At 37.0% G+C, this 13601-nt stretch overlaps 1 protein-coding gene across 15 annotated transcripts in view, besides 1 other annotated feature; it reads right to left on the bottom strand.

The window, feature by feature from the left end:
- ATM (ATM serine/threonine kinase) overlaps window positions 1–13601 on the bottom strand; it is a 146036-nt gene that overhangs the window by 118652 nt on the left and 13783 nt on the right. For 14 of the 15 annotated variants that reach the window (XM_011542840.4, XM_047426977.1, XM_006718843.5 and 11 more), the window contains 4 exons: window positions 6333–6498; window positions 5425–5663; window positions 3324–3487; window positions 1349–1518 (listed from right to left, as the gene is read on the bottom strand). In XM_011542840.4, the coding sequence (XP_011541142.1) occupies window positions 1349–1518; window positions 3324–3487; window positions 5425–5663; window positions 6333–6498 (739 nt within the window). The remainder of the gene's footprint in view (window positions 1–1348; window positions 1519–3323; window positions 3488–5424; window positions 5664–6332; window positions 6499–13601) is intronic. The other variant, XM_011542844.4, reaches the window with a different exon arrangement.
- Window positions 13082–13282: a silencer, noted in NCBI's record as "peak1450 fragment used in MPRA reporter construct". NCBI's record gives its function as "represses an SCP1 promoter by STARR-seq MPRAs in K562 erythroleukemia cells {active_cell/tissue: K562}" and the evidence as "EXISTENCE:reporter gene assay evidence [ECO:0000049][PMID:32103011]".

The following is a 13601-nucleotide window of genomic DNA, read 5'->3' as shown; positions in this document are numbered from 1 at the left end:
AAATTAGCAATATTTGGGCCAGGTGGTTTCCCAGCACTTTGGGAGGCCAAGGCAGGCAGATCACGAGGTTAGGAGTTTGAGACCAGCCTGGCCAACATGGTGAAACCCAGTCTCTACTAAAAATACAAAAATTAGCCGGGCATGGTGGCACATGCCTGGAATCCCAGCTACTCAGGACGCTGAGGCAGGATAACTGCTTGAACCTGGGAGGTGGAGGTTGTAGTGAGCCAAGATTGTGCCACTGCACTCCAGCCTGGGTGACAGAGTGAGCCTCCGTCTCAGAAAATATATATATATATATATATATATTTAGCAATATTTTATTTCTGAGTTATCTTGTACATCCTTGCTCTTTAGTCACCAAACGATTCCTCTAAAACAGGAAAACAAAGAAACCCAAAAAACTGTTTTTCCTTTACATTAATTCAGTTAATCCAATAAACATTTGCTGTGTATTCTCTAGAATGTGTGATACTTAAGAATAGGAGTCTTATGTTATTCATCTCTGTATATCTAACGCTTAGCCCATAACAGGTGTTCAATAAATTACTCTTGACTAAAAGGACAAATTAAGAATCTTAAATAGCTACTCTTAACTATATAAAAATGAGCTTAAGCAATAGGTATCTAAATCAATATGCTTTTCCCCAGAAGTCACTTACACTTAAACATTCCATCAACATGGTAATCAAAAGAGCACTGATCACGAGTTTGACTATAATCTATAAATCTCTGTCCCTACAGAAGTTGCTTAACCTCTCTGGGTTTCAGTTTCTTTTCAGTAAAGCAAACAGGCTGAACTAGATAAATTCTAAACATCCTTACCAGATCTAATATTTTGGGATTCCAAAGTATCCATAATTTATTTGATTACTTAAATATATGTGAACGTTACATGAGAATAAAGAAGATAGAAAATAAGAGAAAATAACTTTTTATCATGGCATAAGGTCAAAATTATTCTGTGATTTCTTAAGATTATCTTTAACTTCTTCCTAATTCTATTAGAAGGTGCTACGTATGCTAAAATCTATTGTTGAAGCGTACAATTCAGTGAATTCCATGAGGTGCACACTTCTAATTGCCTATCAGAGAGCCAGTCCTCCTTCTTAACTTGCTATGACAATATGATTAAAATAGGTGGCCCTGCACTTGGCCCAAGCAAATGAGCCATTAATGATTGATCTCATTTGTCATGGCAATCACATATCCCTTTGCTAGTAATAGGTTTGGGGGTAGACAAATGACTTAGTTCTGGTTGAGATGAAAGGATTCCACTGAAAGTTTTCTGAAAAATAACATACAAGAGATTAAAATGACACTGAATGAGAAAATGGTAACACTTTACCAAGGCACAAGATCAAAATCATTCTGTGACTTCTGAAGGTGATCTTTTATTACTTCCCAGCCTAGTTCTATTTTCTTCCTTTTGCAAGGGACACTGTAATCACTAGATTCTCTTTGTGTAGTAGTGTAAGATTGAGAAATCTCCAAGGATCTGGTATCTTCATTAAAAACCTGTAAAATAAAAATAAATCCACTTTTTTCTTTTTTTTTTTTTTGAGCCAGAGTTTCGCTGTTGTTGCCCAGGTTGGAGTGGAACAGCACGATCTCGTATCACCACAACCTCTACCTCCCAGGTTCAAGTGATTCTCCTGCCTCAGCCTCCCGAGTAGCTGGGATTACAGGCTTGCACCACCATGCCCAGCTAACTTTGTATTTTTAGTAGGGACAGAGTTTCTCCATGTTGGTCAGACTGGTCTTGAACTCCCAACCTCAGGTGATCTGCCCGCCTTGGCCTCCCAAAGTGCTGGGATTACAGGTGTGAGCCACCACGCCTGGCCAAATACACTTTTTTCATTGCTATTGTCTTCTAATATTTCATTAGGGGGAAAAAAAATTCTTTCTGAAATGAAGATACAGGGAACTCATAAAGCAAGAGTAATACATTACAGAAACATATAAATCTGATAACATAGTAAGAAACAAACATTTTGCATGACAGTAATGGCACTTTAGAAAGCAGGTATTACCAAGTAATGCATTAGTTTTATTTCCTGGGAACATTTACTAAAAGCACTAAGAAATCTAAAAGTAAAGCAAAAACCTTTACTTTCAAAGGGATTCAAGTTTTTAAATTTAAGAAATTTTAAGAAATATTAAGAAAATATTTGACAGAGTGAAATTACTACTCAGGATGTTAACCAAATCTCTGGGGAACAGAGTTTTATTTAAGAAACATTAGGCCATCAGGTGATGGATGGGTAAGTAAAATGGAGTATATCCATACAACTGAATATTATTCAGCAATAAAAATGAATGAAGTACTGATTCATGGTAAAACATGAACTTTGAAAACATTATGCTTAGTGAAAGAAACCAGACACAAAAGACTCACATATTGTATGATTCCATTTAAACGAACTGTCCCAAACAGGAAAATCCACAAAAACCAAGATTGATTAGTGGCTGGTTGCCAGGATCTAGGAGATGCAGGGAATTGGGACTGAATGCTAAGAAGGGATGAGGTTTCTTTTGGGATGATAAAAAAGTTCTGGGCTGGGCACGGTGGCTCACGCCTGTAATCCCAGCACTATGGGAGGCCGATGCAGGAGGATCACAAGGTCAGGAGTCTGAGACTAGGCTGGCCAATATGGTGAAACCCAGTCTCTACTAAAAAAACAAAAATTAGCTGGGCGTGGTGGCAGGCACCTGTAGTCCCAGCTACTCGGGAGGCTGATGCAGGAGAATCACTTGAACCCGGGAAAGGGAGGTTGCAGTGAGCGGAGATTGTGCCACTGCACTCCAGCCTGGGTGACAGAGCAAGACTCCATCTCAAAAAAATAAAAATAAAATAAAAAAAGTTTCCAGAATTAGTGATGATGGTTGTACAACATAGTAAAAATACTAAAAACCACTGAAATGTACAACTCAAAATCGTGAATTTTATGCTATGTGAACTCTAGCTTAATTGCAAAAAAGAAACAGACTGGGCTTGGTGGCTCATGCCTGTAATCCCAGCACTTTGTAGAATACAGTCGAGTCGAATCGAATCATTAGGGTTAGGGTCACCTTATTTCCTAGAGACAATCATTTAAGAATGAAAAAGTTCATTGTTAGTTTTCAAATATCTGCAAAAGCATTAACTTTTAAGTTAAAAGGGTAATTCCAAATATTTCTGATAGTTTGAAAGGAATAGTTGCATGTACAGAGTCATTTTATAGGCTTTTTGTGAGAACACAGGTTTTAAAAGCCCAAAATGCCCAGTTTAAAAAAAAAATTAACAGGAAATTTCTAAATGTGACATGACCTACTTACTGTACCTGGTGACAGATATCTGCCATCAATTCAATCAAATTTTCTTTGACGGCAATATTACGAAATCCTGAAGAATACTTTCCTCTACTTCCTATATGACTTATCTCATTCACTAGCAGATCATATAAGTTGTATAAAATACTTCTCCATTTTGTTGATTCATAAGCACCTGTAATCCAAAAAATTAAAATGTAATTTTTATGTATGTACTCTGTTTACACTGCTAGCTCCCACAAAATTATTCAGCTGTCAAGCTGCATCAGCGTTAGAAGACACCTGGTCCAACCTTCCATTCAGTACTAATGCCTCTTCTGACAAGATCCTTGACAAACTCTATTTCATAACTGTCCATTTTACATTTAGATAACTGTGTTTCTTATAAATTTCTTCCATATTCTGACCTAAAATCTGTCTTTCTCCAATTTATTCTCCCACCTGAGGCAAATACAATTAATATGTTCCCTCTTTCATATGAGGACCAAGTTCTCCGTATGCCTTTTTCTGGCCTAAGAGAAAAATATTACGAGTTCCTTCAACTAGTGTAAAAATGACATATTATTCAGACTTCTCACCATTTCAGTCATCTTTCCCAAGACACATTCCAGTCAACTTAAAATGCTGACTATACAAAATCTGGTGAACATGGTAATCCAACTGTGGCTTGACTAGTATGCGAAACAAAAGGTCTATTATTTCTCACAAACAAGGTACTACAAAATCTATTAAAGTAGTCTGAAACTACATTAGCTTTTCTGGCATCCTCATCATCCTGCCAATTTTAAATTCACCCTAAATATGCAGTTAACTAAATCCCTAAACATATCATATCACCTCCTAATAAGCCTGATCTTCATCCTGGAGATAAGAGGTGAGTAAAAGATGAAAAACTATTAAAAGTCACTATTCTTTCACTTATAGTAGTTTCATGGGCTACATATTATCTAGATATACTTATTAGAAGAGCCCATAAAACAAATACACAGCTACTTTTGATAAAAAGTGGCTACACGGCCGGGCACAGTGGCTCATGCCTGTAATCTCAGCACTTTGGGAGGCTGAGGCGGGTGGATGGTTTGAGGTCAGGAGCTCAAGGCCAGCTTGGCCAACATGGTGAGACCCCATCCCTATTAAAATACAAAAATTAGCTGGGCATGGTGCCAGGCATCTGTAATCCCAGCTAATCAGAACGCTGAGGCAGGAGAATTGCTTGAACCCAGGAGGCGGAGGTTGCAGTGAGCTAACATTGCGTCACTGCACTTCAGCCTGGGCGACAGAGTGAGACTCTGTCTCAAAAAAAAAAAAAAAAAAAAAGTGGCTACAAGACATTTCCTCCATTATAGCTGCTATTACTCAATGTGGTATGCTGTTTTAAGAAAGTCACTATACTAGCCATGATGAGTTGGTCCAAAGGCTAGTATAAGCCCAAAGGCAATCATAGACAGAGCAAGAGGAAACTCCAGTTCCAGCCAATAAAGTTCCTAACTACAGAAAAGCACTATACCTTCTGGGCAATACTCTCTTGGTATAGGACATATATGAAGGAATTAAGGAGAATAAGTGATTCTCCTTAACAAGTGATACTCTAGGGCAAACAGGGCCCTAGAGTAACTATGAGGCTTAAGGCAGCAATTTCCCTGTTTCTGCCTCAAATTCCTATTAAAGTAATATGTATGTATCTTCCTCAGGAGCTGAATAATCTGACTGGTTTTAGTCCAATTTACGTATTTTATCTTCTAATAAAAGTAATAGGTGGATAAACAAGATCCTGCTTTCTTTAAATTCTTTTGCCCTACAGTCTGTGTCAGACCCCTTAGTATCTAAGTATTGATGCATAAGTAGCTCCTAGAGGGAACAATGTCTCAGATTTTTTTGTATTTCCCATAATACCTAATATTGTATTGAACAAATAGAAAGGCATAACAGAATCTGCTACCACTGCTTCAAATTCTAAAAACTCTATGAAAAACATTCTCATGGCTAAGTAACATTATCAACCAGAGAAATCCAGAGGAAAGTCATATCCTCCTAAAGAACACTAATTTTATACTTAGACTTCTATGTTTGAATGAAGAAGCAAATTCAAAACAGTAAACATTTCCTTTATACCTTTTTCTTGGGTTTTGGCTCCTTTCGGATGATGGATATAAATTTGCAGTTGAAATAATTCAATAATGACTTCTTTTAAAGAATCATTAAGCCTATGTTGAGTCCAAATATAAAGCAAAGTGGGAAGAATTTCATCTCCTAATTCACACACTCGAATTCGAAAGTTGACAGCCAAAGTCTTGAGGAAGATAGTAAGAGCTGCTAAGATATGATTTAGACCTGAAGAGCTCTTTTCTTGTCTGTGAAGAAACAAACAAGCTCAACTGGGTATAACAGGGGGAACAAACTGTACAAACTGAACAGTTATGAAGTGGTATGCTGAAAGAAAAAAAAACAAAACCCTAATTTTCAAACAGTAGTCTTAATTTCAAAACTATTCATTAAAAAAAAAAATCACAGCATTACTTCACACTGACAAAAAATTAGTTCTTATTTGGTGTTAAGAGACCACTTCTGTTAGCTCTCCCTCCTGCTAAAACATTGTATAAAAATAAACAAAACTGATTTGTAACACCATTTATAAAATGTTTCACATTATACATTGAGTACTGCCATACTAATGTACAACAGTAATACTTCCAAAATATTTTCCTATTTTATTTTATTCTCGGTATATTAAAACCATCCTCAAAATGGGGGAAATGCAATGACTTAGAGGATATTTAACTTTCCTGGTCAACAGAACATCAGCAAGACACATCTCCCCCTTGAAAACTTCACGTAGTGTTCTGCATATTGGATATTCAGAAAGTGTTGGACTTGGTTGTCTCTTTAGGAATCCACTAGTTCTGTTATGATGGATCAATGTTTTATTTTAAGGTAGAATTTTTAGTTACTGAGTCTAAAACATGGTCTTGCAAGATCAAAAGTATTTCAATACAAAACAAAAGAAAAAGAGATTAGATTACCTCGCACACTGAATAGCCTTGGAAAAAAAGTCCAAAAATTTGGAATTTAATCCGTCAGTCTGAGAACAGCATCCTTTGGTAACAGCATGAATTATTCTAGCCACTAAAACTCTATGAACATCTTGTGAAGGTTTCAGATAGAGCCTGAAGTACACAGAGAACAATTCTTAAAAAAAAAAAAAAATTATTAGTCATGATTTTTTAAAAATCAAAATGTATTAAATGTTACAATTTAACTTAAATATTCCATAATCCCATACAGAAAAAGGATTTTAAAACTGCACTAATTTATTTTTAACATAGTAAAAGTACTCCATCAGTATTTAATTTTATCTTATATAAAATGCCTTTAAGACAGGAATAACTATAAACTGCTGTGAGAGCACCAGTTTAAGAGCCAGGTCGCAGAAACATTACTTAACTTCTCTAAGCCTCTGTTCCATCATCTAGGCCTAAGAAAGCACTTACAGTACATGCTCCATGGGTTTTTCTTTCTTCTGTTTTTTGAGACAGAATCTTGCTCTGTCGTCCAGGCTGGAGTGCAATGGTGCAATCTTGGCTCACTGCAACCTCTGCCTCCTGGGTTCAAGTGATTCTCATGCCTCAGTCTCCCAAGTAGCTGGGACCACAGGCGCACAAAACCATGCCTGGCTAATTTTTGTACTGTTAGTAAAGATGGGGTTTCACCGTGTTGGTCAGGCTGGTCTCAAACTCCTGGCCTCAAGTGATCTACCCACCTTGGTCTCCCAAAGTGCTGGGATTATGGGCATGAGCCACTGGGCCTGGCCTCCACAGTTTTTTAAAATAATAATACTGTTTGATTAATAATATGCAAAAAATGTGTTGAGACCTATGAAGGGTATGAAATTTTACTCTGCTTGGTTTGTTTCTTATTTATTTGAGGTAGAGTCTTACTCTGTCACCCAAACTGGTGTGTGGTGGTAAGATCACGGCTCACTGTAGCTTCAATCTCAGCAGACTCAGGTAATCCTCCCACCTTAGCCTCCCAAGTAGCTGGGTCTAGAGGCCCACACCACCACACCCAACTGATTGGTATTTTAGGTAGAGACAGGATTTCACCATGTTGCCCAGGCTGGTCTTGAACTCCTGGGCTCAAGTGATCCACCTGCTTTGGCCTCCCAAAGTGCTAGGATTACACGCATAAGCCACTGTGCCTGGCTGAGATTTTATCTACTTGTAACCTAACAAATTAGCATGACAGTTTCCTGGGTGCTAGCAGGAAACCTGAGATTCCTGATAAGAGAAAAAGGACAGTTTATTTCTCCCAGTAATGATGGTAGCCAGACTACCTTCATTTTTGCATCAGTTCCCCAGTACCAAAGGCAAGGTGAAATGGGACACTTGACACTGCGAAAACAGTGGACTGAGTTATAACAGAGAAACCTCAAGCTTTTTATAATCAATAGGCTACAAGTAAATCTGTCCTGTTTTAGAGGAAGCCATCATCTGACCTTAGATGATCCACCTGCCTCAGCCTCCGAAAGTGCTGAGATGACAGGTGTAAGCCACTGTGCCCAGTCCCCAAATAACATTATTCACAATGTTATACTTGTGTATATTGGGACTTTATATATAGACAATCATGTCATCTACAAAGGGGAGTGTTATTTCTTCCTTTCCAATCTGTATGCCTTTTATTTTTCTTGTCTAACTACCCTGGCTAGAACCTCCAACATAATGTTGAAAAGGAGTGGTGAGAGTGCACATCCTTATCTTGTTCCCAATTTGTCTTATGAAAGGCTTTAAATTATGGATTCAATTTATTCTCCTAATAGTTATGGGACTAGTCAAATTATCTATTTTATATTGGATGACTTTTGATAATGTATGGTTTTGAGGAACTGGCCCATTTAAATTAATAGATGTTCATAGTGTTTCCTTATTATCCTTTGAATATCTATAGGATCTGCAATTAGATCTCATTTCATTTCTAATATCAGTAACTTTGGTCCTCTTTTTTTTGTTTTTTGTTTTTTTAAGAGACGGAAGTCTCACTACACTGCCCAGGCTAGATTTGGACTCCTGGGCTCAAGTGATCCTCCCACTTCAGCCTATCAAGCCATAAAAAGACATCGAGGAGCTGAGAACGGTGGTTCACACCTGTAATCCCAACACTTTGGGAGGCTGAGTTCAAGCTGCTGGCATAAGCAACATAATAAGACCTTATCTCTACTAAAAATGAAAAATTAGCAGGGTGTGATGGCTTGTGTCTGTGGTCACAGCTACTTGGAAGGGGGTGGGAGGATCATTTGAGCTCAGGAGGTCGAAGCTGCAGAGCCATGATCTCACCACCACACTCCAGCCTGGGTGACAGAGTGAGGCCCTATCTCAAAAAAAAAAAAAAAAAAAAAAAAAGAAAGAAAGAAAGACAGAAAGAAAGAAAGAGAAAGACATGGAGGAACCTTAAATGCATATTACTAAATGAAAGAAGGCAATCTGAAAATGATACATACTGTTATGATTCCAACCACAGTCACATACTACATAACAACATTCTATTCAATGACAAATGGCAATATGAAAAGGTGGTACCGTAAGATTGTATCAGAACTGAAAAATTCCTATTTAAATACTTAGTGATGTCATAGCACAAGAAATTACTCACAAGCATTTGTGGTGATACTTGTGTAAAAAAAACCCACTGCACTGCCAGTCATATAAAAGTATAATACATACAATCATGTATAGTACATAAACCTTGATAATGATAATAAATGACTAAGTTACTGGTAAAATGTTAGGTTTATGTACTTACTCTACTATGCTTTTTATCACCATTTTATACTATATTCCTCCTTCTTCTTCTTAAAAAACAAAACAAAACAAAACAGTAAAACAGTCTCAGGTAGGTCCTTTAGGAGGTATTTCAGAATAAAGCACCATTATCATAGGAGATGAAAGCTCTGTGCATGTCCCTGAAGATCTCCCAGGGGGACAAGATGCAGGGACAGAAGACAGTGATACTGATGATCCTGACCTTATGTAGGCCTAAGCTCATGTGTGTGTTTGTGTCTTTGTTTTCAACAAAAAAGTTTAAAGGAAAAAATAGAGTAATAATAATTTCATTTAAAAAGCTTATAGAACAAAAGAAAAAACATCTATAAGTATATAAGGAAAAAATATTTTTGTACAGCTGTACAATGCATTTGTATTTTAAGCTAAGTGTTATTACAAAAGAGTCAAAAAGTTTAAACATTTTTAAAGTTTATAAAGTAAAAAAGTTATAGTAGCTAATGTTACTTTAGTATTGAAGAAAGAAAAACATAAATTTTTAAATTTGGTACAGAATAAGAGTTTACAAATTCTACAGTAGTATATAGTATCCCAGGCCTTTACATTACCACACATTTACATACCCAGAGCAACTTCCAGTCCTGCAAGCTCCATTCATGGTTAAGTGCCCTAGACAGGTGTACCATGTTTTATCCTTTATACTATACTTTTACTGTACCTCCTCTATGTTTATATATGTTTAGAGACACAAATACTTGCCATTGTGTTACAGCTGCCTACAGTATTCAGTATAGTAACATGCTGCACAGGTTTGTAGTGCAGGAGCAGTAATACCATATAGCTTAGGTGCGTAGTGTTATACCATCTAAGTTTGTATAAATACACCCTATGACGTTCACGCAACAAAGAAATTGCCTAATGATGTATTTCTCAGAACATATCCACATTGTTAAGAGACGCACAACTGTATATGACATGCTGGAAAAGGCTAAACCATGGAGATAGCAAAAAGATCCATGGTTCCCACAGTTTACAAGAAGGAAGAGATGAAAAGGTGAAGCACAGAGGATTTTTCTGACAGTGAAAGTATTCTGTATGATTCTGTAATAGTGAAAAATTGTTACCATTCTCTCCCAGAGGAAAAAAAAATATGACCATCTCATTAGATACAGAAAAAGATCTTTAAAAATGTCAAAACACTTGTCAAAATCCATAGCATATGTACCACCAAAAGTGAACCTTGGACTCTGGATAATAATGATGTGTCCCAGCATAGGTTTACTGATGGTAACAAATGTACCACTGGTGCAAGATGTTGACAGTAGGGCATGCTGTGTGTGTCCAGTGGACTTTCCACTCCGTTTTGCTGTAAATTTAAAATTCCTCTAAAAGATAAAAGTCAATTTAAAAAAATGGAAACCACTAGGTTTGAGAAACTGAATAATTGACAGTGTAGCTTGAGCACAGAAATTAGAAGCGCTTTAGTTAAGTTAGACAGGTAGGAAGAAGCAAAATTATGCAGCACTTTCAAGGCCTAGAAGAGGAATCCTCATTTTCTATTAGTTGTGCTAGTGAGAATGTAGAGAAACTGGAACCCTTGTGGGCTGCTGGTGAGAATGTAAAATGGCGTAGCTCCTGTGTAAAACAGGATGTTGGTTCCTTAAAAAATTAAATATAGAATTACCACATGATCTAGCAATTCTACTTCTGGGTATATAATCAAAAGACTGAAAGCAGGAAACTCAGGAGATGTATACTCATGTTCACGGCAGCATTATTCACAATAATCAGAAGGTAGAAACAACCCATGTCCACCAATGGACGAATGAATTAACAAAATGTGGCATATACACAGAACAGAATAGTGTTCAGTTTTTAATAAGGGTGAAATTCTGACAAAAGCTGTAACACTGATGAGCCTCAAAGACATTTTGGTAAGTGTAATAAGCAGGTTGCAAAAGGACAAATACTTATAGGAGTCCTCTACTTCAGGCTGCTATAACAAAGTATTATAGGTTAGGTGGCTTAGAAACCACAGAAATTTATTTCTCTCAATTTTGGAGGCTGAAAGCAGCTCAGGTGCCAGCATTGTGGGTTTCTGGTGAGGGCCCTCTTTGGGGCTGCAGACTACTGACTTTGAACTGTATCTTCACATGGCAGAAAGACAGCAAGTTAGCTCTCTGGCCTCTTTTCATAAGGGCATTAATCCCATCCATGAAGGCTGGACCCACAGGACCTAATTACCTCCTAAATCCCACACCTCCAAATACCATCCCTTTGGGAGTTAGATTTCAACATAATTGGTGGGACACAACATTCAATCCATAAAAATGAAGTACCCCAAATAGCCAAATTCATAGAGAGAGAAAGTAGAATGGTAGCTGCCAGGGGATAGGGGAGGGGAAAATGGTAAATCATTGTTTACTGAGTATAGAAAAAAAAGTTCTGGAGATGGATGGTGGAGATGATTACACAACAATATGAATGCACTTAATACTACACAACTGTACACTTAAAAAAGTTAAAATTATAAATGTTATATATATTTTACCACAATAAATCACACTGGAGGTCCTAGCCAATGTAATAAAGCACAAAAATAAAATAAAAGCCACATGGCTCAGAAAGAAAGAAAAAAAAATTACTGCTTACAGAAGACATGTTTGTCTACAAAGAAAATCCAAAAGAACATTCAAAGAAAGCTACTAGATTTAGTAAGTGATTTTAGCAAGGTCCCAAAATACAAGGTCACTATACAAAAATTAACTGGACTTCTGTATAATTTTTGTGCATTGAACAATTTGAAAATCAAAATGTTAAAAACAATGCAATTACAAACTACTGCAGTATAAATCTAACAAAACATATACAAAATCTTTATGTTTATACAATTATAAATAAATGTCAATTTGCAGCTGGGCATGTTGGCTCATGCCTATAATCCCAACACTTTGGGAGGTCAAGGGAAGGGTATCACTTGAGCCCAGGAGTTTGAGACCAGCCTAGGCAACACAGTGAGATCCTGTCTCTATTTTTTTTAATATATAAAATTAAAGAAAAAAAATTGTCAATTTACAACAAAAAATCTATATGCTGACAATTATAAAACACTAATGAAAGAAATCAAAAAAGACAAGTGGCCAGACGCGGTGGCTCAAGTCTATAAACCCAGCACTTTGGGAGGCTGAGGCAGGTGGATCACCTGAGGTCAGGAATTCGAGACCAGCCTGGCCAACATGAGGAAACCCTGTCTCTACTAAAAATACAAAAATTAGCTGGGTGTGGTGGCACATGCCTGTAATCCCAGCTACTCAGGAGGCTGAGGCAGGAGAATCGCTTGAACCTAGGAGGTGGAGGTTGCAGTGAGGTGAGATCGTGCCACTGCACTCCAGCCTGGGCAACAGAGGGAGACTCTGTCTCAAAAAAACAAACAAAGAAGCAAAAAAAAAAAAAAAAAAAAAAAAACCTAAGTAAATGGAGAGATATACAGTGTTCATGGATTGGAAAACTCCACATTGTTAAGATTTCTATTCTTCTCAAATTGTGCAACAGATTCAATGCAATTAGTATCAAAATCCCAGCAAGATCTTTTGTAGAAATCAGTAAGCTGATTCCAAAATTTATATGCAAATGCTGACTCAATCTTAGGCCATTCTTCTCATCTCACACTAAACTCTATATACAAATCTCATCCATAGTCATGGCTTCAGTCACCACCTGTACCAAATATATATTTTGAGCACAGACTTCGCTTCTTCCACAGAGTCCTCATCTAAGCAAGTTTTAAAAGGAAGCTAAGTAAAAAAATACTTTGACAAAAAAGCTAATTATAAGAAGTAACATCCGGGAAGAAGTGGCAAAGGTTAGCTTAAATAAAAAGAAAAAAGAAAAAAAAAGAAGTAAGAGTAGTTAGTTTAAAAATAAAAAGGGGGTTTCAGAGAACAAACTAGATGACAGAATATAGTAAGCAGACTAGGGGAAAGACTGCCTTTGTTTCAGTGACAGCCATGGTTGTAAGTGATAATGTAAAATGACCTAAATATGACCAGCCATACTGGGGAAAGATCTGGTTAGGTAACCTAGATATCACCAGCCTATTCCCAAAGGCTGTCTCTAGGCTTGTTGAGGGCCCTGTTACAGACACAGCCTATCTTGTGTTCAGAGTAACGTAAAGGCTACAAATGACTCCTAAGAAATTAGCTGAGAAGGCATTTATTCTCAGGGGAACAGTAGAGTGTAATGCAGGAGTGAGGGTACTGATTAGGTAGTAGTTTTGTGGTTCACATGTATCTCATTTTGAAATAATAAAATGGCAATAAAGAATATGGACAAATGTCTTTTAATTTAGCTAGCAAAATTTAGCTTAAATACTTTCCATGAAAAAAAAAAGCTTCTAAACTTTTAGAGTTCGTGTATTAGAAGACTTTGACACCTGACTTAAAATCATCTTGTTAATGTCAAATCCTACTTTCACTTATTCTCAAACCCAGAAATGCTCCATCTTTGAAACCAACA

This window comes from Homo sapiens, chromosome 11 (genome assembly GCF_000001405.40).
Source record: "Homo sapiens chromosome 11, GRCh38.p14 Primary Assembly".
Lineage (NCBI taxonomy): Eukaryota > Metazoa > Chordata > Mammalia > Primates > Hominidae > Homo > Homo sapiens.
The sequence above is the reverse complement of the archived record's forward strand: the minus strand, read 5'-3'. Positions and strand labels throughout refer to the sequence as shown.